The 27,652-nt window shown below is 35.3% G+C and overlaps 1 protein-coding gene across 5 annotated transcripts in view, besides 1 other annotated feature; it reads left to right on the plus strand.

Moving 5' to 3' along the window:
• HTR1F (5-hydroxytryptamine receptor 1F) overlaps positions 1-27,652 on the plus strand; it is a 201,134-nt gene that overhangs the window by 155,964 nt on the left and 17,518 nt on the right. The window lies entirely within an intron of this gene.
• Positions 1,052-1,101: a silencer, noted in NCBI's record as "silent region_14545". NCBI's record gives its function as "represses an Ori minimal core promoter by ATAC-STARR-seq in GM12878 lymphoblastoid cells {active_cell/tissue: GM12878}" and the evidence as "EXISTENCE:reporter gene assay evidence [ECO:0000049][PMID:35858748]".

Consider the following 27,652-nt stretch of genomic DNA (forward strand, 5'->3'; position numbering starts at 1 on the left):
AGGGTTCTGTCATGTTGCCCAGGCTGGTCTCCAACTCTGGGGTTCAAGTGATTTGCCCACCTTGGCCTCCCAGCTTTGGGACTCCAGGCATGAGCCATCGTGCCCAGTCTTTTTTATGTACTATTATTTTAATATTACTATTTGAGAACTATTCTGAGAAGACTTAATTTTTAATGTTATGCCATGTTTGTAGTACCAATAGCCATATTATAGAACCTTGCTTTAGGAGTACTGAATAAAGCACAATAACAACCCTCTTGAATCTGTTAAACACTAAAATCTTATTCAGCAGTATATTTATTTTCAGATCAGTTTCATAAACCATCCTGTTGTAAACCAAATTGTGTATCTATTTATATTCTATCAATGTTTAGCTCTGCTTAGATTTTGGAAATGACTGTTTAAAAAAAAGTCTCAAACTAGACTTGAATTTGACAAAGTGTGTATGTAAATTTGTTCTTCAAAGCCAAAAGAGTTTGTATATACACAGACAAACACACACACACACAATGATAGAAGTTAATTGTATTGCCAAGAAGAGCAAAGATCCTTTAGGGTAGTTTCTAACACTGTCTTACAAATAATTTCATTTTAACTACTTAGGCATTTATTAATTACTTAAGTACTTCTACTTCTGGCAGCTCAGTCAGTTTCTAATAGCAGCAGCTTAAAAGTCTGACACTGCATATCTAGAAAAGGTCTTTGTAAGGTATAAATCACAGCTTCCTCTACTCAGTCCTTAGAAGAGGACTCCTTCAGAAAGGCAGCCTCCTGTAAAGGAATACAAATTTCCTTCAAGTCTGATGTATGCGTTAGGGAAACAAGTGACATTGAGAAAGCAAACAGCTTAATAGCAGGTTATAAAGTTCAAAGAAAAGCCACAATTATCTCTCTTTTTTATTTCTTGAATCCAGAAGGGATGGCTGACAGTCTTTTTGTTTCTTATTGCCACTTTCAGATCTTTGCCTTCTTACCATGACTCCAAAATCCCCTCCCTCTTGAAACCCACACCGTCTCCTTTTACATCACCCTTCCTGTAACCACTCTAATTACCATCTACTGACCTAAATATCAGAGGCCATAGTTTTCAAGTAAGTCTTCATTTTCTTTCATTTTCTGTGATAGCCCTTGGGAATTCAAAACATAAGACAGTGTCACCTCACCGTTCCCAGTTTGAACAATGTCTTGGTCTACTTTACGTTGCTAGAAAGGAGTATCTAAGGCTTGGCAACCTATAAAGGAAAGAGGTTTATTTAACTGATGGTTCTGCAGGCTGGACGAGAAGCATGGGCTGGTATCTGCTCAGCTTCTGATGAGGGCTTTTGTGCTACCTCAAAACACAGCAGAGAAAGTCAAAGGGGAAGCAGGCATCTATGAGGAGGAACCAAACTTGAGGCACACCCTACCTTTGTAACAGTCTTCTCTCCCAGGAACTAATTCATTCCCTTGAGAACCAATGTACTCTTGCAAAAGCAAGAACTCTTTCACTACTTCAAGAATGGCACCAAGCAATTTATAAGAGATCTGCCCACATGACCCAAACACATCCCACTGGGCCCCACCTCCCAATACTGCCAAACTGAAAATAAAATTTCAACATGAGATTTGGTGTAAACAAACAATATGCAAACCATAGCAAACAACTTTTGTATATATTCTATTTTATCCTCTCACAAGTTCTGCCTTGGACTTCCTTATTACATCAGTCTAATCCATTGAAAACTTAATTCCAAAATCTGGTACTCTAAAACCATCTTTTCTTTTTTTCTTTCAACCCTTCATTCATACATAACCACGTCTTGACTCCTTCTGGTCCTTCAGTTGATCAGGATGCCCTGATGTTATTTTTTTACAGATTTATCTTAGACCTCAATAATGATAGTGTCAACTTAAAAAAAAAAAGGGAGGAGTAAAGAGAATTATTTCTAAATATATTGAGTTTACCTGAGAATAAAAAGAATGATTATAATCTGGAATAATACATGGAATGGCAAGTCATCAGTGCATTTGGTATGGGAAGAGGAAAGGGGAGCTTTTACTGCAAACAAAACAAAATGTATATATGCTGCTTAGAAACAGAGTTCATTGGTTTCAGAGGTTCGAAGTCAGAGTTGTTGTCAATTCATTGGTGGAAATGTCATTACTGGTCAAGTGTTCTTTAAGAACACTGTCTGAATTAATACAGTCCTAAATAATGTCTAGTGATAAGCCTTATCAAAGCAGGAAATGCATTAAGGGTATTTAGACAGTCCTTGGAAACAAGTTCTTATCTCAGATATAAATGCATCTCCTCTCCTTCTGTCCTTCCTGGCCCTATTTTGTCTGGGTCTAACAAAAGTGATTTCATCCTGGTATCTGCAACTTTCACATTAGTTCTGCTTTCAGAAGCCTCCACTGTCTCAAATTTCCCCATCCAACAGGCAACCTCCGAAACTTGGAAAACCCTAACAACTGTTTTACTCCCACTCCAATACTGCTAAGTGCAAGTGGATTCAGGTTATACATGATCTCTGTGATTTCAGACTGTAAGTTTTTGCATACCATTCTATCAAAGATGTCAAGCATAATGTCTAAAACATATTATTTATAACAGCATTACCACGAAGAACAATAGTTATATATTAAAGTTTACTATGTGCTAGACACTGTACAGTTTAGATGTATCATTTTAGTTCATCTTCTTAGCAATCCTATGAGGTCAATACCATTACCCTTCTCATAATAAAAACAAGTAAAATAAGCATGAGGAAGTTGACACCATTCAATAAATACTTTCTAAAGAAATTGAAGTGTGTTGGTACATTACCCCAGAATTGTTTTAATAGACTTTATTTTTAGAGCAGTTTTAGATTCACAGAAAAATTGATTGGAAGTTACAGAAATTTCTCACATACTACCTGCCCCATACATGTATAGCCTCTTCCATTATCAACATCCCCCACAAGAGTAGGATATTTGCTACAACTGATGAACCTACATTGACACATCATCATCAAGAGTCCATAGTTCACATTAGGGTTCACTCTTGATGTTGTATATTCTGTAGATGTAGGCAAATATATAGTTATATGCATATATATATGATGGACATATATATCCATCATTTTAGTATCATACAGAGTAGTTTCACTGGCCTAAAAATCCTCTATACTCTGCCTGTTCATCTCCTCCTGTTTCCTGGCAATCAGTGATCTTTGTACTGACTCAATAGTTTTGCCTTTTCCAGAATGTCATGTAGTTGGAATAATGCGGCATGTAGTATTTTTGGATTGGCTTCTTTCATTTAGTAATATGCATGTACATTTCTTCCTTGTCTTTTCATGACTTGATAGCTTATTTCCTCTTAGCACTGAATAATTGTCCATTGTCTGGATGTACCACAGTTAATCTATTGACCTACTCAAGGAAATCTTGGTTGAGATTTTTTTTCAAAGTGGCATTAACTCATATCCTCTCAAGTTGAGTCCTGATATCAATATTTAAAGTAGACAAGGTCACATTCTACATTGACTCAGGTAAGACCTGAATGAAACATGTTTATATTTTACTAACTTGCAACAACAAAATGTAACTATTTTAAAATTTATTTTTTAACAACAGCAATAATTAGACCTTTTTAATATTTATCAGTTTTTATACCTGGGCTTATAGTTTCTAAAGCATTTAATTCATCCCCAAAGAGCAACTGAGGCTACCAGAATTGCAGAATCTCATTAATACAATACAATACAGATGTTGATATGGAAACAGGCAGACTTGGGGAAATCTCTTTGAGCCTCACTTTTCTCATCTATAAAATGGGGATTAAAAATAGTGTCTTCCTCATAAAAGTATTTTAAGATTTAAAGACAAGTACAAAAAGTGCTAAAACATTGTCAGCATCAATAAATTGCGATCAGCCCTAAGGGCAATAAAGGAAATGATATCTTCACGTAGAAATTTAAAAACCTGTTTCTCAAATTGTTTTGCATAATTTGCAATTTACACGCGTAATTTCTGACAAAATTCTGAAAATCATTAATGCATAGAATAAAGCAAGTCACCAGGAACTTTTTTAAAATATTTATAATCAATATAATGCAAGCTTTCGGATGGTGAAAAGCAATGGTCACCCACCACATCCCTTCTAAATCCCAATTGCTTTCTCCAGAGGCAGCTACTTCTATGCCTTTTTACTTGTTTTTTTTTCTCACGCTAATTACACTACATTTTCAGCCATACAAGGACACATAAAAGTTACCTCATGTATATTTTCTACAATTACTTGAGTATGTTTTTTATCAAAATAAGTAATAACTAAAAAAATGAGTACACAGTTTTACAGAAATCATGTAATCAATCTTTATATATCTCAACATGTATAAAAGTCAACTCAAAATGTATTAATGTATTAAAGACTTAAAACATAAGACATGAAACTATTAAACTACTAGAATAAATATAGGGAAAACATTTCAGGACATTAGTCTAAGCAAATATATTATAACTAAGACTTCAAAAGCACAGGCAACAAAAACAAAAATAGAGAAAAATGAGGGTATATTAAACTAAAAAGTTTCTGCACAGCAAAGAAAACAATCACCAGATTGAAGAGACAACCTGTTGAATGGGAGAAAATGTTTGCAAACTATTTATGTGACAAGAGATTAATACCAGAAAATATAAAGAACTCGATTTAACGGCAAAAAAAAAAAGAAAAGAAAATAGTGAGCAAAGGATCTGCATAGACATCTTACAAAAAAAGACATACAAATGGCCAACAGGTATATGAAAAACTGCTAAACTTTACTAATCATGAGGGAAATGCAAGTCAATGAAATATCATCTAACCCCAGTTAGAATGGCTATTACCAAAAGGACAAAAAAAAAATGCCAGCAAGGATGCAGAGAAAAGGGCATACTTATATGTTGTTGGTGGGAATGTAAATTAGTACAGCCATTATGGAACGCAGTGGGAGATTTCTTCAAAAACTAAAAATGGAACTACTATATAAGCTAGCAATCTCACTACTAGGTATTTATCAAAAGCAAAGAAAATCAGTATATCAAAAGGATACCTGCACCCCCATGATTAATGCAACGCTATTCACAATAGCCAAGATATGGAATCAACCTAAGTGCCCATCGATGGCTAAATAGATAAAGAAAATGTGGTAAATATACATAATGGACCATTATTCAGTCATTAAAAGAAGGAAATCCTGTCATTTGCAGCAACATGGATGAAAATAGCGGTCATTATGGTAAGTAAAATAAGACAGACATAGAAAGACAAATGTCAATGTTCTAACTTACATGTGGAAGTTTAAAAAGTTAATCTCATGGAGGTAAAGAATAGAATGATAGTTACCAGAGACAGGGAATGGGTGGCGAGGTGGTGGGCAGGTGGAGACAGCATAGAGAGGTAGGTTAATAGATACAAATGAATAGTCAGCTAAAAGGAGTAAGTTGTAGTGTTTGATAGCACAGTGAGATGACTATAGTTAACAGCAATATATTGTATATTTCAAAATAGCTAGAAGACATGAATGTTCACAACAAAAATAAATGATAAATGTTTGAGGTGATGTATATCCTAAATCACTTGACTTGATCATTACACATTATGTACATTTATCAAAATATCACTTGTACCCTATAAATATGTGTAAATATTATGTATCAATTAAAAAGTAGGAAGACTAGAAACTCTAAGAAAAGCAAAAGCTGATAAAGAGATGTATAATATTAGTAGCCACTGCTTCTGCAATAAATATACGTAGCCACAATTGTGTATTTGATTTGTAACTTTTAGATTAAACCTGTTCTAAGCTATGTAAACTTAGTAATGATAAGAAAATAGAGAAATATTATGAACTTCAACAATGTAAAAGTAGAAATTCTATAGTATAAAGCAAAAGAAAATTTAAGGGATCAACAGGGGTTGATGAATATCATTTCACACAGTACAGAGTCAAAAACTACATTTGTTGTTAATGAAAACAAAGAGAAAGTTGATAGAGTGTTACTGAAAGCCACGAAGATAACCAATTAAAACATTTTAAATACTGATATAAACATGTAAGGAGAATGGGGCTTAGCAGGTGGAATAATGGAAGTAATAAACTAAGTTATCATCTATCACAGCAAAAATTCAATAGGTTATTTCTGACACAAACTTTTTTAAAGTAGTGAAAGGAACTTATTAAACTTTCAACTCATTTTCCTGTTTTCAACCCCGTTCAACATCGCAAGTAGTGTTTGTACATCTTCTGGTGTCTCCAAGATAAACTTGCTCTACTTTATGCTATATTCTGCTTGGAGAATGTTCTGGACTGTAGCTACCCCTGCTTTATTGTCTCAGTTATTTGGTGTCCATCTGTTTTGTTTTTTGCCTCACCTACTTTATTGAGGAATAATTTGCATAAGATAAATTATATCAATTTAAAATGCAAAATTCTACGAATTTTAATAGTTGTGTATATCCTGAAGCCACCACCATAATCAAAATAGACATTCAAACCACCTTTAAGAGACTCCTCAGGTTTTTTTGCAGTCCTTCCCTGCCTTTGTCTCTGGACTCTGGCAACCATTCATCTGCTTTTTCGCACCTATATTAGTTTCGTTTTTATGTAAGTAGTATAATACAAAATGGACCCTTTTTATGTCTGGCTTCTTTAACTCAGCATAATGATTTTGAGATTCATCCATGTTGCATGTATCAGTAGTTTCCTGCTTTGTACTAACTGATAAGTAGCATTCAATTGTATGAATGGCACATCTTTTTTATCCATTCACCATTGATGAATTGGGTTGTTTCTAGTTTGAGGCTATTATGAATACAGTGAACATTCATATATAGGATATTTTATGGACATATGCATCTATTCCTCATGGGTAAAGTCCTTGCAATGGAATGGCTGGGTCGTATTGTCAGCCATATTTGTTTAGCCTTTTTTTACAAATGCCAAATAGTTTTCCAAAGTAGTTGTACCATTTTATATTACTATTAATAATGCATGAAGATTCTGTATGCTCCATATTTCCACCAATGTAGGTATTTTTCATCGTTTTATCATCAGCCATTCTAATGAGTATAAACTGGAATTTCATTATCATTTAAAATTTCCCTGAAGACAGTGATGTTGACCATATTCCCTGAGATTTGGACTATTCAAATATCTTCTTTTGTGAGGTATCTGTTTAAATTTTGTGTCTATTTTTAAGTGAGTTTTTTTAAATGAGTTATTAGTCTTATTGTTAACTTATAAGAGATCTGTATATGGTCTGGATACAAATATTTTATCATGCAATTAATTCTCAAGTCTTATGGGTATTGTCTCCCATTCTGTGGCTTGACTTTATTTTTTAACAGTTTTTTAGAAATCAGAAGCTTTATTACACTTTGGTAAAATCAAATTTAATGATTTTTCTTCCACTATAATTTGTATTCCTTTATACTAAGAGACCTTTGCTTAATCTAAAGTAGCTAAAATTTTCTCCAGTGTTGTATGTTTTATTGTTTTGACTTTTATGTCTATGATTCATTTCAAGTTAATTTTTGTGTATCTGTAAAGAATTGATAATCATTATTTTTAATATGGATAACTAGGTATTTAATAGACTTTCCTTCACTCCAGTGGATTATCTTGGCACTGTCTTCAAATATCAACTGAACATATATTTGTGAGTCTATTTGAGGACTCTTTAAAGTATTGCTATGACGTATATCTCTGCTGTTCACCAATACCACACTGTCTGTATTATAACTTTAGAGTAAGTCTTGAAATCAAGAATTGTGCATCTTAAACTATGTTCTTTCTTAAAATATGTTTACCTTTCCATGTAAATTTTGGAACCAGCTTGCCAGCTTCTAAAGACAACCCCACTTGAATTTTGACTGGGACTATGTGGAATCTATAGATAAATTTGGGAATAATTAACATTTTAATTATACTGAATCTTTAAATATATGCCTTCCATTTATTTAGGTCTTCTTTAAATTTCTCTCAACCATGTTCCATAATTTTCAGAGCAGATGGTTTGTATATCTTTGAAAAATTAATTCCCAAGTACTTTATGATTTTAGTGTTCTTAGATATGACTTTTTAAAAATTCATTTACCAATTATTTGCTATTATATAAAACTACAATTGATTTTTATTAACGTTGTATCCTGCAACTTGGTAAAATTCGCTTACTTTAATAGTTGATTTTTAGATTCCTGTAGATTTTCAAAGTAAATAGATTCATCATTTCCAAATGGAGACAGTGTTATCTTTTTTTTCTGATCCTCATGAATTATTTTCTCTTGCTTTTTTAGCCAGGTCTATGACATACAATGCTGAATAGAAATGGTAAAAGTAAGCATCTTTGTTCCCAGTCTTAGGAGAGTACCATTAAGACTTTCACAAGGAAACAGGACGTTAGGTGCAGATTTTTTATAAATGCCTCTTATCAGATGGAGGCAGTTCCTTTCTATTCCTACTTTTCTAAGAGTTTTTATCAGGAATAGATGTTAAATTCAATCAGATGGACTTTTTTTCTGATTCCAGTGAAATGATATCATGGTATATCTCTTTCATTCTCTTAATATGTTAAATTATATTGATTGATTTCTTAATCTTAAGGTAACTCTGCATTCCTGAGATAAATCTCACTTGGTCAGGATATGTTATCTTTTATAAATATTGCAGGATTCAACTGCTAACATTTTGGTAAGGATTTTAACATTTAATTTCACGGAGAGAGTGGGTCTTTTTCTGTTTTTGTTTTTTGTGTCTTTCTCTGGTTTTGGTCTCAGGATAATTATGAAATCAGAAAATCATATGAAAATGTTTCTTTCTCTTCTATTTACTCAAGGCATTTGTATTAAATTTATATTGCTTCTTTTTTAACTATTTGATAGAATTTACCAAAGAAACCATATGGAATCAGATAAGGTTCTCCAGCTTATCTATTTATTTTTCAGTAAACTTTAGTACTTTGCATCTTTCAAGGAATTTGTCCATTTAATCTAAGTTGCCTAATTTGTTGACATTAGTGTTCTTAATACTCTTTTTTTATCCTTTTAATATTCATATGATTTGTGTAGAAAACCCATTTTTCATTTCTGATATTGCTGATTTGGCTTTTTTAAATCAGTCTAATTACTGATTAAAAGTAATTAAAATTAAAAGTAATTCCATTACTTTTGTTGATCTTTTTAAAGAAACATCTTTTGGCTTTTTTCATTTGTCTGTTTTTTATGTCTTTGATGTCAGCTCTTATTTTATTATTTTGTTTCTTCTACTTGGATTTAGTTTGCGCTCCTCCTTCTAGTTTATTAGGATAAAACCATAGGTCACTGATTTATAATATAAAAATAAGCTCTAAATCCCCTCTAAGAATAGTTTAGTTGTCTCCCAAAATTTTGACATACAGTATTTTAATTAACATTCAGTTAAAATTATTTTAAATTCCCCTTGTAATTTTTTATTGGAGTCATGGATTATTTAGATGTATGCTGTTCAATTTTCAAATACTTATATTTTGTTAAATATCTTATGTGTATTCTGCAGTTGTTGGGTATTCTAAATATAAATTAGACCAAGGTGGAAAATTGTGTTGTTTAGATCCTTTATATCCTTACTGTTTGGGTGGTTGTTTTTTGTTTTTGTTTTTGTTTTGTTTTGTTTTATTTTCTGGTCTAATTGTTCCATCATTAGCTTAGAGAAGAGTTTTTTAAAACTTCTAATATGTTGGAGTGACTGTCTGTCTCTCTTTAATTCTGTGTGCCCTTGAGTACACTGACTCCCCAAGTAGGGTTGTTAGCTCATTAAAAACATGTAAAACCCTTGAACAATGCATGGTTTATAGGAGGCACTCCACAAACATTAATTCTAAACAAACACTCTTTGTTTACTCAGGAAGCTAACCTAGTCTCCATTTTAGCCCTACAAGGATATTAAAATCATTCTTTAGAAGATTGCTAATGACTTTCTAACAGCCAAATCCAGTATCCCTTTACCCACACGTTATCTAGTCCAGTTCTGCTGCATTTGACACTGCTATCACCATTCCTTTCTTAAAAATGTCTCTTCCCTTGGTTTCTGTGATGTAGTCTCTGTTATTTTGCCATCTCTCTTGCCAATCTGATTGTGCCTTATCTCCTTCACAATTAGAGGTGTTCCCACAGGATCATATGTTAAAACTCTTTTTACTTTATATTTCCTCCCTTATTTTTTCCACTGCCACTTTCTCAACCACCACCACCACCATGCATTTGGTACTCCATCTTCCTCATCTCTGAACTTTCAACTGATTGTCAGATCCATATTGTCAACTGACTAATGAATATTTTATCAGGGTAAAATCCCTGCACCCAAATTAAATATGTCTAAGTATAAACTTATTACCTTGATATCTTACTCTGAAACTTTTAATTTACTTGAGTTACATATCTATGTTGTTTGATGTACTTAATCTCTTAGTCACTCAAGCAGAAAATATTACCATTCTGAGGAAGACAATAGCATATAATGGTTAGTACCAACAGCTCTAGAAATAGAGTGAGTTCAAAACCTACTCTCTGAGACTCAATTCTCACATTTTTATGGTTGGAATAGTACCTAAATGCTAGTATTATTAGGAGTTTAATGAGACTGTGATGTATAAGGCAATTAGTACACCATAAATTTTTGCCCTCCTTATAATATCCAAATTCTCCCTTGCTTCCTACATGTATTCATTGCCAAAGTCTGGCAATTGAGAGCGCTTTGTTTTCAACCCATTGTATGGTCACTTTGTTACTTTAATATTTTAATGTATTATTTCTAGTAGAAATCTAATAGAGCCTCTTTTACTTCAATTTTGCCAATTAGAAAAAAGTAACAACCAAAATTAAAGAATGGTTTGAAAAATACTGTAGTTACATCAAGAAAGTGGTACTTTACTTAAATTCGCTTTGTTAAACCTCCAACAATGTCAATATCAGAGAGACAAATATGAAATGTAAAAAGTGCATTGTTGAAAGGATTTAAGATGTTGACTTAGGGATAGCTCATGCTGTTCTGATAATATGAATTTCTTAGTGTAATAATTAAATCTACACTGGGATACGATGTGAGACCACCATGGGTTTTTTTTTTTTTTTGAGAATTATGTGTTTTACAGATTAAATAAGCATGAATCAGTAACTTAACTAGTGAAGTAAGCACATATTTAAACAGGTTCTCCAAATGAATACAAATGTCATTTATATAGAAAAAGATATCAAACTTTAAATTGTTTATTTTCCATCTGAAAAAATCCTTAAATTCAGCAGCTATTCAAAAAGTTGGGCTTGTTGAATAAATAGTAACATTATTTCTTTTACTTCTTTATGGAAATACTTATATTCTCATCTTGATCCTTAAAAAACAATAATTCTCAGCCTAGCTACACATTAAAATCACCTAGGTAGTGTTTTAAAATCCCAACGCCTCTGCCATACCCCAATCAATTAAATTGGAATTTGTGGGGCTGAAAAGCAGGCATCAACATTTTTAAAGGTCAGTAGATGATTCCAGTGGCAGCCAGCAAATTGAGAACAGCTGCCTTTTCACTACTTGATGAGCCTTCATTTACCCCTGTGAGTGGCTACTAATATGCAATTTGGAAAACATCCTAAATAAATCACAAAAAGAAGTGGTCATTGTAAGTATCAGAAAATAGTAGCTGCCCAGATGGTTTATAAAGGGAAGAATCATTGCTTCCTTAGACAGTAATTCTCAAAACTGAAGGAGTAGTCTGGGTCCTTCTAGGAATAGCAAAAGCCAAAGGAAATTGACTTTAAGTGGATTTTTGTGAGTAGGGAAAGAATATGGGTTTGAAGCCAACAGAACCTGTATTGAATTTCAGTTGTGCTATTTTAACTGATTATGTGACAATAAACAAATAACTAGACCATTCTGAGTTCCCTCATCTACATAAGGCTATATTTTTGTTGTGAGGGTATTATGAAGTCATAATTTATATAAATTATATAGAAGCATCTTGCATGGATTCAAGTACCATGGTAAGTGCACAACAAAGATTAGTTCCAAATTTCTCCTACCTCTATGCCTTTCCTATTCTCTGTTACTTGGACTTGGGTTTATTAAACTTAAATTAACTCATCTGTAATCAGAGTGAGTCGTTTGAAATCTGTCATGTTTGATGCAGCCTGACTTATATGGTGGTAGACTGCTTACTAATGACTATCATGCTACTTTACTCTTTAAGCCACCTGTGACCTGGAAATCAGATGAAAAGTAGCTGGAACTCTCTTTAGAATTTCCTAACTGTGTTTTCTAAAACTCTGAATGTCGCAAAAAGTGTACTTGGTATGGTGCACACACACACACACACACACATACACACAAACTTTCTGATGTCAAATAAAGTAGGGAAAAGCAGTATACTGGGGTTCCCCTATGAGAGATGTCCAGTGGAAAGTAAAATACTGAAGTTTCAGGGAAGTTCTTCAGTTGAGATGCCTTTTTACCCAGGATTTCCCAATTTTATTTGACCACCCTTCCCCACTACAAGCACCAATCAACAATTATAGTAGTCCAAGTCCAAAGAGCATAGATTGAGAATACTAACGAATGATATTATTGATGACTAGTCAAAAGCAAGAAAATTAATTTGATATGCTCCTCCTTGTCATTGGAAGAGACCCCATTCCGAGCCAACTCTAATCAAAGGAGGAAGCCAAAAAGTGTGGGAGAGGTTTTAAATTTTGAGATGAAAATGTTAAATTAGAGATTTAAAGTAGAAAGTTTCATCAGTATCCTGGCTACTTGTGCTGTTAAATTTTTTTATAACTTCAGCTGGGCTTCGTGGCTCACATTTATAATCCCAGCATGTTGGGAGGCCTAGATGGGAGGATCACTTGAAGGCTGGAGCTTGAGACCAGCCTGGGCAACATAGTGAGACCCATCTCTATTCTAAATGAATGAATGAATGAAACATAACTTTAAAATTTTTTTGAACTTTAATGTATTACATGTGAACACAGTATCTAATATCTCACCCAGCGAGACAACTTCACTGTGTGACAAAAAATTATACTCAAATCCATTGTTTTCTTATTTTGTAACCTGAAAAATGGAAAGTAATGGAGGTAGTATAAAAGAGAGGTAATAAGATCTAAAAAAAAAAAAAGAATAAAAGGTTTACAGAAATTCTACCAAATATGACAAAATGTGTAAGGGTTGTCAGATAAAATATAGGACAGCAGGCTAAATTTGAATTTCAGACAAACAATACATATTTTTGTCAGTATAAGCATGCAATATCATAGACATACTAAAAAATGATTCATTGTATATCTGAAATTCAGATTTAACTGAGAATTCTTATTCTTTCATTTGCTAAACCAGGCAACCTCAATGTGCTATCTACATTGCATCAAAAATGACGTACATTGAATATAAGCAAAAATAAAGATTTTTTTTAGTTTTCAAACACTGGCATGCCAAAAGTAATAAAGAAAGACAGACAACTTGGATTTTTTGCAAACAAATGATAAAAATTAGGACCAGCCTGAGAATTCAGAATAGCTGATTTGGCTACTACTTAGGATAGTAATATTCAAGGGGGAAAATGGAAAACTAAAAAGCAAATCTTAATTAAATTTTGCATGAACTGCATAGAGAAATAAAGATTGACAGTGTGAAAAATAGGTACAAAAGCTATTTCAAACTGCAATTTATTTGTGTTATGAATCAATAAATAGCTTTATTTGAATAAATGTAAAATTCCTTTAGCATAAAACTAAAGATAAGCCGAGAGAAATTTATGCACAACAGAGACGACATGAACTTCATTATACTTAAGTCAACATGTGAGAATTGTGCTGTCAGAGAACTATTTCTAAAAATAAAAAAGGAAGTTAAATGTATGCCAGTGTTATGAATTCATTCATTATAAATATAAGAGATGTTTTCCTTTTATGTTTATATTAGCAGGATATGAAGTAATCAGAAATTCATTTGAAAACTAAATTATACAAATGGTATTGATTTGTATTTTATTTTAATATTTGTACTCTTCAGTTTTATATATACAGAATCTCTGAAGTATCTAACTAATGGGAAAAATGTAAACACAGAATACAACTGACAATTTACTTTGTCCTTGCTTGGAAAGAACATTTTAAAATAATGAAAATTAAATTATTTCCAATATAACTCTTAAGCAAATGCAGACAACCTTCCCCTCACCAGATATTCTCTCTTTGGTTGTAGTTTAATCTAGTGATACTAATAGACAATAAATACCATTTTAACAACCCTGAAAATTATGTATTTTTTTTACTTTCTTGATAAATTCTTAATAGAGCAAATAATCATGTGTAATTTAATCCTCTTCAGTAATTTGCTAAGATTAAAAATACTGATTTATACTCTGATAATGATATTTTACAAAATTTGTTAATACATGGAAAATTAATGGTCTTGGGCAAGGGTTAGTGACATTTTTAACCTTCTGGTCAAATAAATCTACCGAATGTCAGTTATTGGACTTCTTCTTTATTGAAGCATCCTTGTTTTCTTGATTTGTTTTTCACAGTTGATAATTTAATGTACAAGCCAAATCTATCCTAAGAATATTTTCCTGTGCTTCTGGACAATAATCAGAAACAGTTATACTATTTCTGAAAAAGTATTGCACTATCAGTAGAGCAGTTCCTGCCACAACTATCTCTAGGAAAGCTTCTTATATTAGTCAAGAAGAAGATGCTGAGTTATCCTGATGTGCCTAATTGCCTAAACATGAAGAACTTTTAAAACTCAGACTTACTTTCACTAAATCTTTATTTGTCCCAAAAGTGAAGCCCCACAAGGAATAAAACAATGAGCCATTTGCTGTGTATTGTCCTCCAAGATGACAATAACTATCCTCTCTCCTCCAACGTGGCAACCTCCAGATTCTATGCCTTTTGACATTTCTGTGGGCCTCAAATGTTTTCTACAATATTAGGTCTTTGCAGGAAATCCATGATTTTATAGTTCAGAACCAAGAAGCTCTGAGTTTATGATCCCTCAACTTCTCAATGGAGGTGAAAGGATTTGAGAGAAAACATCTATGCTGGCACCTGAGGGTTAGAGATCTTAACTTTCTGTAAATTTATGTCATGGTTTATCCCAACCTATCTAGCAACATATGTGCTTTGTCTTTCCAACTGAGTTGTAAACCCTTTGGAAGCAAGGTCTATACTTCATTCTTACTCTTCAGAGCCCCAGAGCACCAGGTTCATACTTGGTGGGAGTTCATTAATAATTCAGAAATTAATACTAAGGAGTCAAATGCATCTTTCTTTCATTTATCTCCAGGAACTTTCTCCAATCCAAGCCAGCTTTCCTTGCATTCCTTGCAGCAGGACTCAGGAACCCAAACTAGTGTCTTTTTCCTCTAACACCCTCACAAGCCCCTTGAGGCTCTTTTTCCCTAAATTGGCTGCCGGGTGCTTTAACTCAATTATCACAGGTCTCCACTGACTTCCACTTAAGGATTTGGATTAACTATAAAACTGCTATATAATTGTCCTTGAATATTAGAATATAAAACTATAATATATTCCTCACCCTTAATCTGAATTATTTCCTTCTGGGTATACATGACGCCAAAGTAAATCACTCCTACAGCTCTGATGTCATTTATTTACCCATAAGCATACCAATAAAAATAAGCAACATGGAGTAATTAGTAATAAAATTCTAAAATACTATTTGATATTTAGAGTTAATCAACGTAGTTTGGAGTAATCGCTCCTTTTTTGAAATTCCTTTTGCTGCCCTCCTCCTCCCTGAGCCACAACTCCTGACTCCACTCTCCAGATGACATCTGATAGCACCATACTCTGAAACCAATCCAAACCCTCTTCTCAGAGTTTACCAATAGGACAGAGTGCTATTGAGTAAATTAACTGCTGTATGAAGCCAGGCAGTTGAACAGGAAGGTTATACAACACTGGGGCCAGGACTGAAAACAGAGGGTTAGTAAAGGGAAAGAAGAGCAAAGAAAAATGTAGATGGGAGAGACCACTAGGATCTGGAAAGATAGTAAGAGATGTTCCTTTCCAGTTTCCTTTCCAGTCCTCTGAGTAGCCCAGCTATAATTTGTTTCCTGCCTGATATGATATGGCTGTATCCTTATGCAAATCTCATCTTCACTGTAGCTCCCATATTTCCCAGGTGTCACGGGAGGGGCTTGTAGGAGGCAATTGAATCATGAGTGTGGATCTTTCCCATGCTGTTCTCATGATAGTGAATAAGTCATGAGATCTGATGGTTTCATAAAGGGTTCCCCTACACAAGCTCTCTTGCCTGCTCCCATGTAAGATGTGCCTTTGCTCCTCCTTTGCCTTCTGCCATGATTGTGAGGTCTCAGCCATGTGGAACTGTGAGTCCATTAAACCTCTTTTTTAAAATAAATTATCCAGTCTCAGCTATGTCTTTGTTAGCAGCATGAGAACAGACTAATATACTGCCCCTGTGTGATGTGAAGTCACTTGTTGATGACCTCTTTTTCTTAAGCTGATTTAATTGGATTTCATTTTTTATAAACAGTCATGCCCTTCATAAACCCAGATTAATTCAGTTAATAATATGAACTTGCAGAAAGTCTGAATTGGTGACATACATTTCTAAGCGAGTAATATTCTACATTATGGAGTCTAAAAAGATGTTTCAAAATCTGTTTGATACACATCTCCTATCATTTTTTGCACAATTCACATACTTTTCATATATATTGCAAAACTAAATATCAATCCAAAGGATATAAGTATTGTCAAATTATGAAATAGGAGGATGAAAATTGTGAGATTAAATTGGACTAAAGCAAGATTTGAAAATGGCACATCATTTCCTTTTGGACCTTCCATACAGTTAAAAAGCCTTTTGAAAGTATGCTGGCTTCTTAAAAATAAAGTCAATAGACATATTCCAGGGACACTAGATAATAATGTCTTTAGGATAATAACTGGCGACACACCTTATTTGGAACAACTTTTGCAAGGAGATACTAAACAACCACAGAATTAACACAAATGCCTGAGATTATATCCACAAAGCACTAATTTTAGATAGCTTACACAATACAAAATTTAGCAAGGAGTACTAAGGCAAGGAATGTGCCTGTGAATTCTTCTTCAAGTCAATGCCAAAAGCTTATTGACTAAGGCTGTTTATACCCGGATTAGAGCCACATCAGCTGAAACTAACACTCCACCCTCTTCCCTTAGTTCCCTTGCATCTCAGATGGCCTATTAAATTCTTTACTAAAATGTCCTTTAGGGACTTCATATTATGTCTTCCTCCTCCTAGACATAATAGGACATTAGAAGAGTCTCTTATTGCATTCAGACTACTATAACAAAATTCCAAAAACTGAGTGGCTTATAAACAACAGAAATCTATTTCTCACAGTTTGCAGGCTGGGAAGTCCAAGAGCAAGTCACCAGCAGATTTGGTGTCTATGTTCCTCATAGACAGCCGTCTTCTCACTCTAACCTCAGGTAGTGGAAGAAGCCAAGGACCTTTCTCAAGCCTCTTTTATAAAGACACTAATCCCATTCACGAGGGCTTTGCCCCCATGACCTAATCACCTCCCAAAGACCTCCCCTCCTAATACCATAACCTTGGGAGTAAGGATTTTAATGTATAAATTTGGGTAGACATAAACAATTCACACCATGGCAGAAAGATATCAGAACTGTTACATAACTAACTTCTGGATCAGTCTTTCCCATTTTTGTGAGCTTTTTCTATCCAAAGAAGAAAATTGATGGCTAAATGTGATGTCTTATGTCTGTTGCATGTTAAACTTCACCTTTGATAGAAAAATAATGGTCTGTCACATGGACACTCTTTGCATTGTGATTTCTTAACCTCGTTTTATGACAATTAATATTAGGCAGAAAATGATATATTAGTTAAATTTTAAGTTGATGACTCAATTCAAGTGATTTTTTTCATCTTCATTAGTGATCTAAGAATTAAAATAAATACTTGCTGATTAATTACATTATTTTACATACTTCTTAAGACTCATAAGATAAAAGATAACCCCTTTGTCAGGGCGTGGAAAATTTCTTAAGTACATTAACTCATATACTCTTAATTAGTTAAGAGTAGAATTCCATCACACATTTTACAAAAATACCTTGTGCTTCCCCACAACAAGACATATAATCCAACAATGTTCCTTTCCTACTCTCATATGGCTACAGAGGATTTCCAAGAAATAATTTGCATTAACTCATATACTCCAACTTTATACTCTTAATTAGTTAAGAGTATATGAGTTAATGCAAATAAATTAAACCTACAAATGAAATTTGCTTACAGAATTATTTACATAATTTATTGACTTAGAAAAGTTCTACTACGTACAATGAAAATATTGTCTATCCTAATAGTAAAGAAATTTAAATAGAAATTGGTTGAATGACATTTGTTTAACTCTTTTGCTTATAGTACCTCTTCTGAATGAAAACATCAATACCTCAGCCAGGCACAGTGGCTCACATCTGTAATCCCAGCACTTTGGGAGGCCAAGGTGGGCAGATCACTTGAGGTCAGGAGTTTGAGATCAGCCTTGCCAACATTTTGAAACTCTGTCTCCACTAAAAATACAAAAATTAGCCGGGCATGGTGGCACACTCCTGTAATCCCCGCTACTCAGGAGGCTGAGGCAGGAGAATCACTTGAACCAAGGAGGCGGAGGTTACAATGAGCTGAGATTGTGCCACTACACTCCAGCCTGGGTGACAGAGTGAAACTGTCTCAAAAAAAAAAAATAGAATACAGGGAAAGTGGTACCTCAAGGAGTGATACGGCTTGGCTGTGCCCACCCAAACCTCAAATTAGAGCTCCCATAATTCCCACGTGTCATTAGAGAGATCCGGTGGGAGGTAATTGAATCATGGGGGGGGGTGGGTAGGTCTTTCCTGTGCTGTTCTCATGATAGTGAAAAAATGTCACGAGATCTGATGGTTTTATAAAGGGGAGTTCCCCTGCTCATGCTTTCTCTCTTGCCTGGCACCATGGAAGACATGCCTTTCACCTTCTGCCATGATTGAGTGGCCTCCCAAGCCATGTGGAACTGTAAGTCTATTAAACCTCTTTTTCTTTATAAATTGCCCAGTCTCAGGTATGTGTATCAGCAGCACGAGAACAGACTAATACAGCAAATTTGTACCAGTATAGTAGGGCGCAGCTGTAAAGATACCTGAAAATGTGGAAGCAACTTTGGAACTGGGCAACAGGCAAAGGTTTGAACAGTTTGGAGGGCTCAGAAGACAGGAAGATGTGGGAAAGTTTGGAACTTCCTGTAGACTTGTTGAATGGCTTTGACCAAAATGCTGATAGTAATTTAGACAATAAAGTCCAGGCTGAAGTAGTCTCAGATGGAGATGAGAAACTTGTTGGAAGCTGGAATACAGGTGACTCTTGCTATGTTTTAACAAAGAGACTGGTGACATTTTGCCCCTGCCCTAGAGATTTGTGGAATTTTGAACCTGAGAGAGATGATTTAGGGCATCTAGCAGAAGAAATTTTTTTTTTTTTTGAGACAGAGTTTCACTCTTGTTGCCCAGGCTGGAGTGCAATGGCACGATCTTGGCTCACTGCAACCTCCAGCTCCCAGGTTCAAGCAATTCTCCTGCCTCAGCCTCCCAAGTAGCTGCGATTACAGATGCCTGACATCACGCCCAGCTAATTTTTGTATTTTTAGTAGAGACAGGGTTTCACCATGTTTGTCAGGCTGGTCTCAAAACCCTGACCTCAGGTGATCACCCACCTCACCCTCCCAAAGTGCTGGGATTACAAGCATGAACCACCGCACCTGGCCAGGCAGAAGAAATTTCTAAGCAGCAAAGAATTCAAGAGGTGACTTAAATGTTAAAAGGATTCAGTTTTATGTATTCACAGGATATGGTTTGGAATTGGAACTTAAGTTTAAAAGGGAAGCAGAGCATTAAAAGTTTGGAAAATTTGCAGCCTGACAAAGCGGTAGGAAAGAAAAACCCATTTTCTTAGGAGAAATTTAAGCTGGCTACAGAAATTTAAAATAACTAATGTAGAGCCAAATATTACTCTCCAAGACAATGGGAAAAATGTCTCCAGGGCATATAAGAGACCTTTGTGGAAGCCCCTCCCTTCACAGGCCCAGAGGCCTAGAAGGCAAAAACGGTTTCCTGGGCTAGGCCAAGGGCCCCCCTGTTGTATGCAGCCTGGGGACTTGGTACTCGGCATCCCAGCCACTCTAGCCATGGCTAAAAGGGACCAAGGTACAGCTTGGGCCATGGATTCAGATGGTGCAAGCACCAAGCCTTGGCAGCTCCCACGTGGTATTGAGTCTGCAAGTGCACAGCAGTCAAAAATTGAGGTTTGGAAACCTCCGCCTAGATTTCAGAGGATGTATGGAAACACCTGGATGTCCACCCAGAAGTTTGCTGCAGGAATGAAGCCCTCATGAAGAACCTCTGCTAGGGCAGTGTGGAAGGGAACGTGTGATTGAAGCTCTCACACAGATTCCCCACTGGGGCACTGCCTAGTGGAGCTGTGAAAAGAGCACCGCTATCCTCCAGACCCTGGAATGGTAGGTCCACTGACAGCTTGCGCCTGTGTGCCAGGAAAAGCCACAGACACTCAATGTCAGCCTGTGAAAGCAGCCGGGAGGGAGGCTGTACCCTGCAAATCCACAGGAGCAGAGCTGCCCAAGACCATGGGAACCCACCTCTTGCATCAGCATGACCTGGATGTGAGACAGGGAGTCAAAGGAGATCATTTCAGAGCTTTAAGATTTGACTGCCCTGCTGGATTTTGGACTTTCACGGGGCCTGTAGTCCCTTTGTTTTGGCCAATTTCTCCCATTTTGAATGGGTGTATTTACCCAGTGCCTTTACCCCTACTGTATCTAGGAAGTAACTAACTTGCTTTTTATTTTATGGGCTCACAGGCGGAAGGGACTTGCCTTGTCTCAGATGAGACTTTGGACTGTGGACTTTTGAGTTAATGCTGAAATGAGTTAAGATTCAGGGGAACTGTTGAGAAGGCATGATTGGTTTTTAAATGTGAGGACATGAGATTGGGAGGGGCCAGGGTGGAATAATATGGTTTGGCTGTGTCCCCACCCACATGTCAAATTGTAGCTTCTATATTTCCCACGTGTTGTGGGAGGGACCCAGAGGGAGGTAATTGAATCATGGGGGCACATCTTTCTCATTCTGTTCTCATGGTAGTAAATAAGTGTCAAGAGATCTGATGGTTTTATAAAGGGGAGTTCCCCTGCACATGCTTTCTCTCTTGCCTGCTGCCATGCAGACATGGCTTTTGCCTTCTGCCATGATTGTGAGGCCTCCCCGGCCACGTGGAACTGTGAGTCTTTTAAACTTCTCTTTCTTTATAAATTACCCAGTCTCAGGTATGTCTTTATCAGCAGTGTGAGAACAGACTAATTCATGGAGGATGAGAGGTAAATGTAGGTTGCAACATTAAGCAGAGTAGTGGGAATTTGAGCAAAGATTTGAAGGAGTTGGAGTTAATTAACCAAGTGGTTATCTCAGGTAAGATACAGGGGAACAGCTAGAACAATAGTTCTAAGTTAAGCATGTATCTGAATCCTCTGGTGGGGGCAGGGTTTAAAACACATTGATGAGTTTCATTCCCAAAGTTTCTGATTCAGTATCAAGGATGGGGACAAGAATTTACATTTCTTAAAGTTCCTAAGTGATGCTGTTGCTATTGATCCAGAAACTACACTTTGAAAATTGCTGAGGTAGAGGAAAAGCCCAAAGTGGGAATGTACATGAGAAATACAAATGTTTCCCTGAGCGAGGGCCACACAGGGAATAGCTGGAGCTATTCTAAAATAATTTTACTCAAGAGGGCTCCCTTCAGAGCCTGTGGGCTGAGAACCAAAAAATTGTGTGTACTAAGGGCAGAATTTCTGTGATCAATTGGAAAAGATAAGAGCTCTGCCTTGAAATTCTCACTTTCTCTCAACTAATGAAATTCACCCTTGTTTTCAAGACACGGATTCCTTCCCTTATAATCTAAACTTATTTCCCTATTGGTGTCTTTATTTACATTTGACTTTAGCTACTTTTCTGTTATAATATCTTCAGCTCCCTAGTTACCATGTGCTTCCCCACAGCAAGATATATAATCCAACAATGTTTCTTTTCCACTCTTATATGGCTACTGAGCATTTCCAAAGAAAAATTTCACAGTAGTATAGATTGATGCCTATTCAACTTTAAATGATACACAGAATTTGTTTATCTGCCTTTGTTCACCTTCCTTCCTATAGCAACTCTGCCAAATGTTCCTCTTACCTTCATGATCCCTGCCTCCTCCCCTTCCACAGATGACACTACCTTCCATCCAAAGAGAAAATAGAAATTATGACACATGAAGTTTCTGCCATTTTCTACCAACACCTTAACACATACATGCTCACATATTCACCAGCTGTAAATTTACTTCCTTCACTTACCTTCTTCTTTCTGGCCTCAAATAAGATAAGGCAAGATACTTGGAAAAGTATGTGACATCAACTGAAGTATTCAATAAATTTGATTGGTTCGTTTCAGTCTTTTATTTTTTTTAATAGGTAACAATGGCCGGGCATGGTGACTCACACCTGTAATCCTAGCACTTTGAGAGGCCGAGGCAGGAGGATCACTTGAGCCCAGGAGCTTGAGATTAGCCTGGGCAACATGATAAAACCCCGTTTCTACAAAAATTAGCCAGGTGTGCTGGGGAGTGCCTGTAATCTCAGCTACTAGGGAGTCTGAGGTGGGAGGATCACCAGAGCCCAGGAAGTTGACTCTGACATGTGCTGTGATCATGCCACTGCACTACAGCCTGGGTGACAGAATGAGACCCTATCTCAAAAATAAAATAAAATAAAATATTAAAAAGTAAGTAACAAATGCATAATGGGTGCAAAATTTTAGAGTCTCTCCAAACTGTTTCCTTAGACACACATTCCTTGGAGATAATCACAGTTAACCACCTCTTGTGTATCTTTCTAGAAATATTCCATATACAAATAAGCAAGTACATTTATAAATTGTTTTTACATAAATAGTAACCTGCCATGTACACTTTTCAGCACTCATTTTCACTTTAAAATATGTTTTGGAAATTCTTTCATATCAAAATATAAAGAGCTGCTTTGTTCATTTTATGTATATACAATAATTTATTTGCCTACTTCTACTGATATACATATTCATTTCTACCACATGCAAATATACTTATAGGGGAAGTTCTTAGAAATAGAATGACTGGATAAAAATGATTGCCATATTGTCTCCATGGGCTTACCAATCTATGTCAGCAGTGTGTTATTGTGCATGCTTTTCCTCACCCTCAATTAACACACAGTGTTTTTCATTCGTTCATTCATTTATTAAATAATGTTTGAGTGACTAGCAGGAACCAAATTTTGTTCTAGGCCCAGGGATTAAAGTCTGTGCCCTTCTAGATCTTACATTCTAATGAGGGAAGACATATAATAAATTATAAATGGTGGTTAAATTTGTAATTCAAATTTTTACTTTGCCAGATTTAGTCCCATTACCATATACATATATCAAAGTATGTTTGTGTTTTACAATAATCAATTTTCTCAACTTAAAGTTTCCATCTATTGCTTGCCTTTTCTAAAATTTCTAAATTTGAAGTGTTTTATTAGTAACCAAATCTTTTAAATGAGTACTTCACATACATTTTCCCAATTTCTTCATCTTTTATTCATCCTTGAATATATTGTCTTCACCAATCTCTGGTGACTACAGATGCACAAGGTTGTGATTAATCATCTATGTATTTTAAATTACATTTCAATCCAGATCTGCCTTCTAGACAACTAGACAACTCCATGTGGGCTATCTCATGATACCTTAGTCTCAATGTGTTTGAAACTACTTATTACTTTCCCCTGACCCTATATTCTTTTCAATCCCTTCTAAACCTCCTTTTCTTGTGTTCCCAATCATGTAAATGACATTATCATCCACTAGTTGCCCATCGAGTAACAGAGGAATCAAACCTCCTTCTTCCTCAAGTCTCACCTCCTCCCCTCCAAAAATAAGCTATAGAATCATGTCATACGCTAAAGAAGCTTAAACCTGTTTTCTTTCTCTCCATCACCTTGTTTCATTTTTTTGGCTAGAGTCTCATTGTCTCACATCTCAGCTGCTTAATAATAATACCTGGCCTGGAGCAGTGACTCACACCTGTAATCCCAGCACTTTGGGAGGCCGAGGCAGGTGGATCACCTGAGGTTAGGAGTTCAAGACCAACCTGGCCAACTCCATCTCTACTAAAATACAAAAAAAAAAAAAAATTTAGCCAGGCATGGTGGTGTGCACCTGTAATCCCAGCTACTCGGGAAACTGAGGCAGGAGAATCGCTTGAACCCGGGAGGCGGAGGTTGCAGTGAACCGAGATTGCACCATTGCACTCCAGCCTGGGTGACAAGAGCAAAACTCTCTATCAAAAAAAATAAGTAATAATAATCCCTATCATGGACTCTAATTTTTACCTATTCTGCTTCATCTTCGGTCGCTCTCCATTGCCTCCAGGATTGTGGTATGTAAAGAGCTTCCTTTCCATTCAACTTTTCAATCCTCAACTGCCATAACCTATTCAAATTATTCTCCTACCATACTCTTCCTGGTATTATAACTTTGCAAATTCTATTTCTTCTCTCAAAAATGCTCTCTCTGCAGCCTGCTCCCTTCAACCATCTATTGACTCAATAAACTCATTATTCAAGCCTAGCTTAAATTTAAAACTCCAGTGTAACATCTTTTCTACTCCTCCCAGGCAAAACTGCTATAACCGTCTATGCATAATAATGGCTTTTAAAAAACACATTCACTAATAAATATAATGCATAGGCTACTTTAGAGTATAAATTGTGCTTTGTATCTCATGTGGATGGAAGGGATTTCAAGAGATCCAGGCTTAAATACTCACTGCCGCCTGTCCAGTGAGAAAATAAAAATAAAAATTACTTCCCGGAAACTCCTGTAAAATTACTAGGATTCACTTGCCTTTGGACACATGCCCTACTAAACTAATCATTATTATTAGTTAACAATCATTGCCAGGGAGTTATGATTTTTATTATCCATCAGGTTCATAATGGGAAATACCGACGGCACGCTTAAATTAGGATAATGCAGAAAGAACGTATTGATATAAGAACTATTTATAAAGATGTGGTGTGGGGAAGGGAGCTTAATCAATAGTCTAGGCAGGCTGCCTGTTCACCATGGCCAGGTATGAACATAGATGTCGGAATTACACATGACCAGCACCCAGAGACAAGTCCCAATGAGCCACCAGTGCCAATTTGGTGTGAGAGACAACTCTCGAGCAGCAGATGATAATTGCTTATGCCACTGCTGAAACCTCGTCTGCTCAGCAGGCAACCAGGGAAACTAATTTCCATGCAGAAGCCATGCCCAGATCCTATTACCCACCTCATTGTTGCCAACGGGCAACATCTTTGCAGAATTTGTGGCCTCAAGTAGAGAAAATGTCTTAACAACAACTATATTATTCATCATGCTGAATCCTCCCTCAGCTTCTGCTGATATCTCAGCAGAATATTTTAAAATCCGCCAAGATTTTTCCATATTCAGTATTTCTATTATCAATGCACGTTAAAGTAAGAGAACAATTTTTCCATAGTTGTTTTGACTGGCTCGTACTAATGAGTCTATTTCCGAGTGCATGTTATTAAATTTACTGCTTGTTATAGTCTTAATATTTTATTTACCAGCTGGTATAGAAGCATTTCTATATTTTTATCAACAAATATGGCTGCTTGTATCTCTACTAGTATAAGAAAAAAAAGGTTTAGATGCCTGGCAATCTTTTTTTAAAAAATGACTACCAGAATGCGTTTATCTCATCATATTGCAGTGATTCCTATATGTAATAGTGAGCTATTTGAGAAAATGTTTTATGGCATATTCATTTTTATATCCAGAGTGCCAACTATAATGCTGGAACTAAATAAATGTTTGCAGAGTAGGTGTATGTGTCTTTTCCTGAACTACTGATCAGCAATATTCTTCCTGATTGCATGAGCTGCATCTTTTATGCATATGTACTACATATAGAAACCAATACACACTGTATTGCTTAATAAACATTGATTGATTGATGCTCAAAACTTAGGAAACAAGTTTGGAGGTTTAGCATTTATGTTCTCCAGTATTTTTTAATTCCATTCAGATGACAGTTCAGATTTGTTCTGTGCTAAGTCACAACTAGGGAATATATAAATCCATCATCCTTTAACCATGTCACTTCTGAAATATCCAACATACTCTATAATATTTTATAATTTTATCTAAAACATATGAATTTTATTAGTATCGGTCTCAAGTGTACTTATTTATTAAAATACTTTCAACCTAGAAATAATAATTGCTACTCTTATAGGAGTAACCAAAGTCAACGAAGTCTAGAAGTAATCAGAGTAACTTAATCAGAGTAACTAAATAAGAACTTCTTATGTTTAAAATGTTAGTCCAAAAATCTTGGAGAAAATGAATGCTTCAAAAATCTCCAAAAAGGAGAAAAAAATCCAAATCTCAAAAAAAAATCCAAATCTTGCAAAAATCCAAATTTTGGAATCCAAGATTTGGATTTTTCTAAAAAAATCTTGGAGAATTGATACTATTTGGTATCAATTTCAGTATTCTCAAATGGTAAAAAGAATGTTAAGTCAAAGTACTTTAAGTTTTCCTTTCTTATCATTCAAATACAGACAAATGTGTCCTAATTATCTTGGAGCTGAATCTCAGTGTTAGTATGTTAATTATGTCCCGTTCTTCAGTGTGTATCTTTGCATTCCATGATAATTTACTGTCTAAAACAGGAAGAAACAAGATATTTTATTCTACAGCATTAAGTAAAGCCAATAAAATAAAATAAAAATAGATACCCTTCTTATTTAAAATCATGGACTTTTTAAACTTTAGATAAAGTCAGTGTACATTGCTACTAAACATACTAAACAAGTCTCAGCCAATCACTGCCTGCCTTATCCAAGTTTAAAAGGTAAGTTTTTCCTCATATTTTAGTTGATAGCCTTGGTTAGTGAGCAAACTGGAAGACCAGATTGCATTTGAGCAGAGCTCCAAATCATGGCCATATAACATCTGCCTTGTGTTGACTGCTGAACATTCTGTAATACCATTAATTGAAGATGACAAATCAACTGCCCAATTTCAACTGACAGCAATTAGCACTCACACTATGTTACTAGACTTCTGCTTTATGTACCAGCCCCACCAAGCCATGAGTGCCCGATAAATGTCAGTATTAATCATTTGTCTTGTTTATGCTACTCAGTTAATCAGCTGGTACTTATTAAGCCTACCTGATGTAAAATGTACTTTAAGTATAAAGCTTAAGAGAATCAAAAGAGAAAAGTAGATTAAAGATTAAAAAAGAGAATGAATACTTTTAATTTAACATATTTACAAAAGAAAGATAGAATACAATGGAAGAGCATACATTATGATCAGGTGAAATACCTTTTGTTCCATTAATTACATTTGTATAAAATATAAGTAACAGTCTAGTTCCTGGTGCTAGTAAAAAACAAAAATAAAAGAGAGGGA

This window comes from Homo sapiens, chromosome 3 (assembly GCF_000001405.40).
Source record: "Homo sapiens chromosome 3, GRCh38.p14 Primary Assembly".
Lineage (NCBI taxonomy): Eukaryota > Metazoa > Chordata > Mammalia > Primates > Hominidae > Homo > Homo sapiens.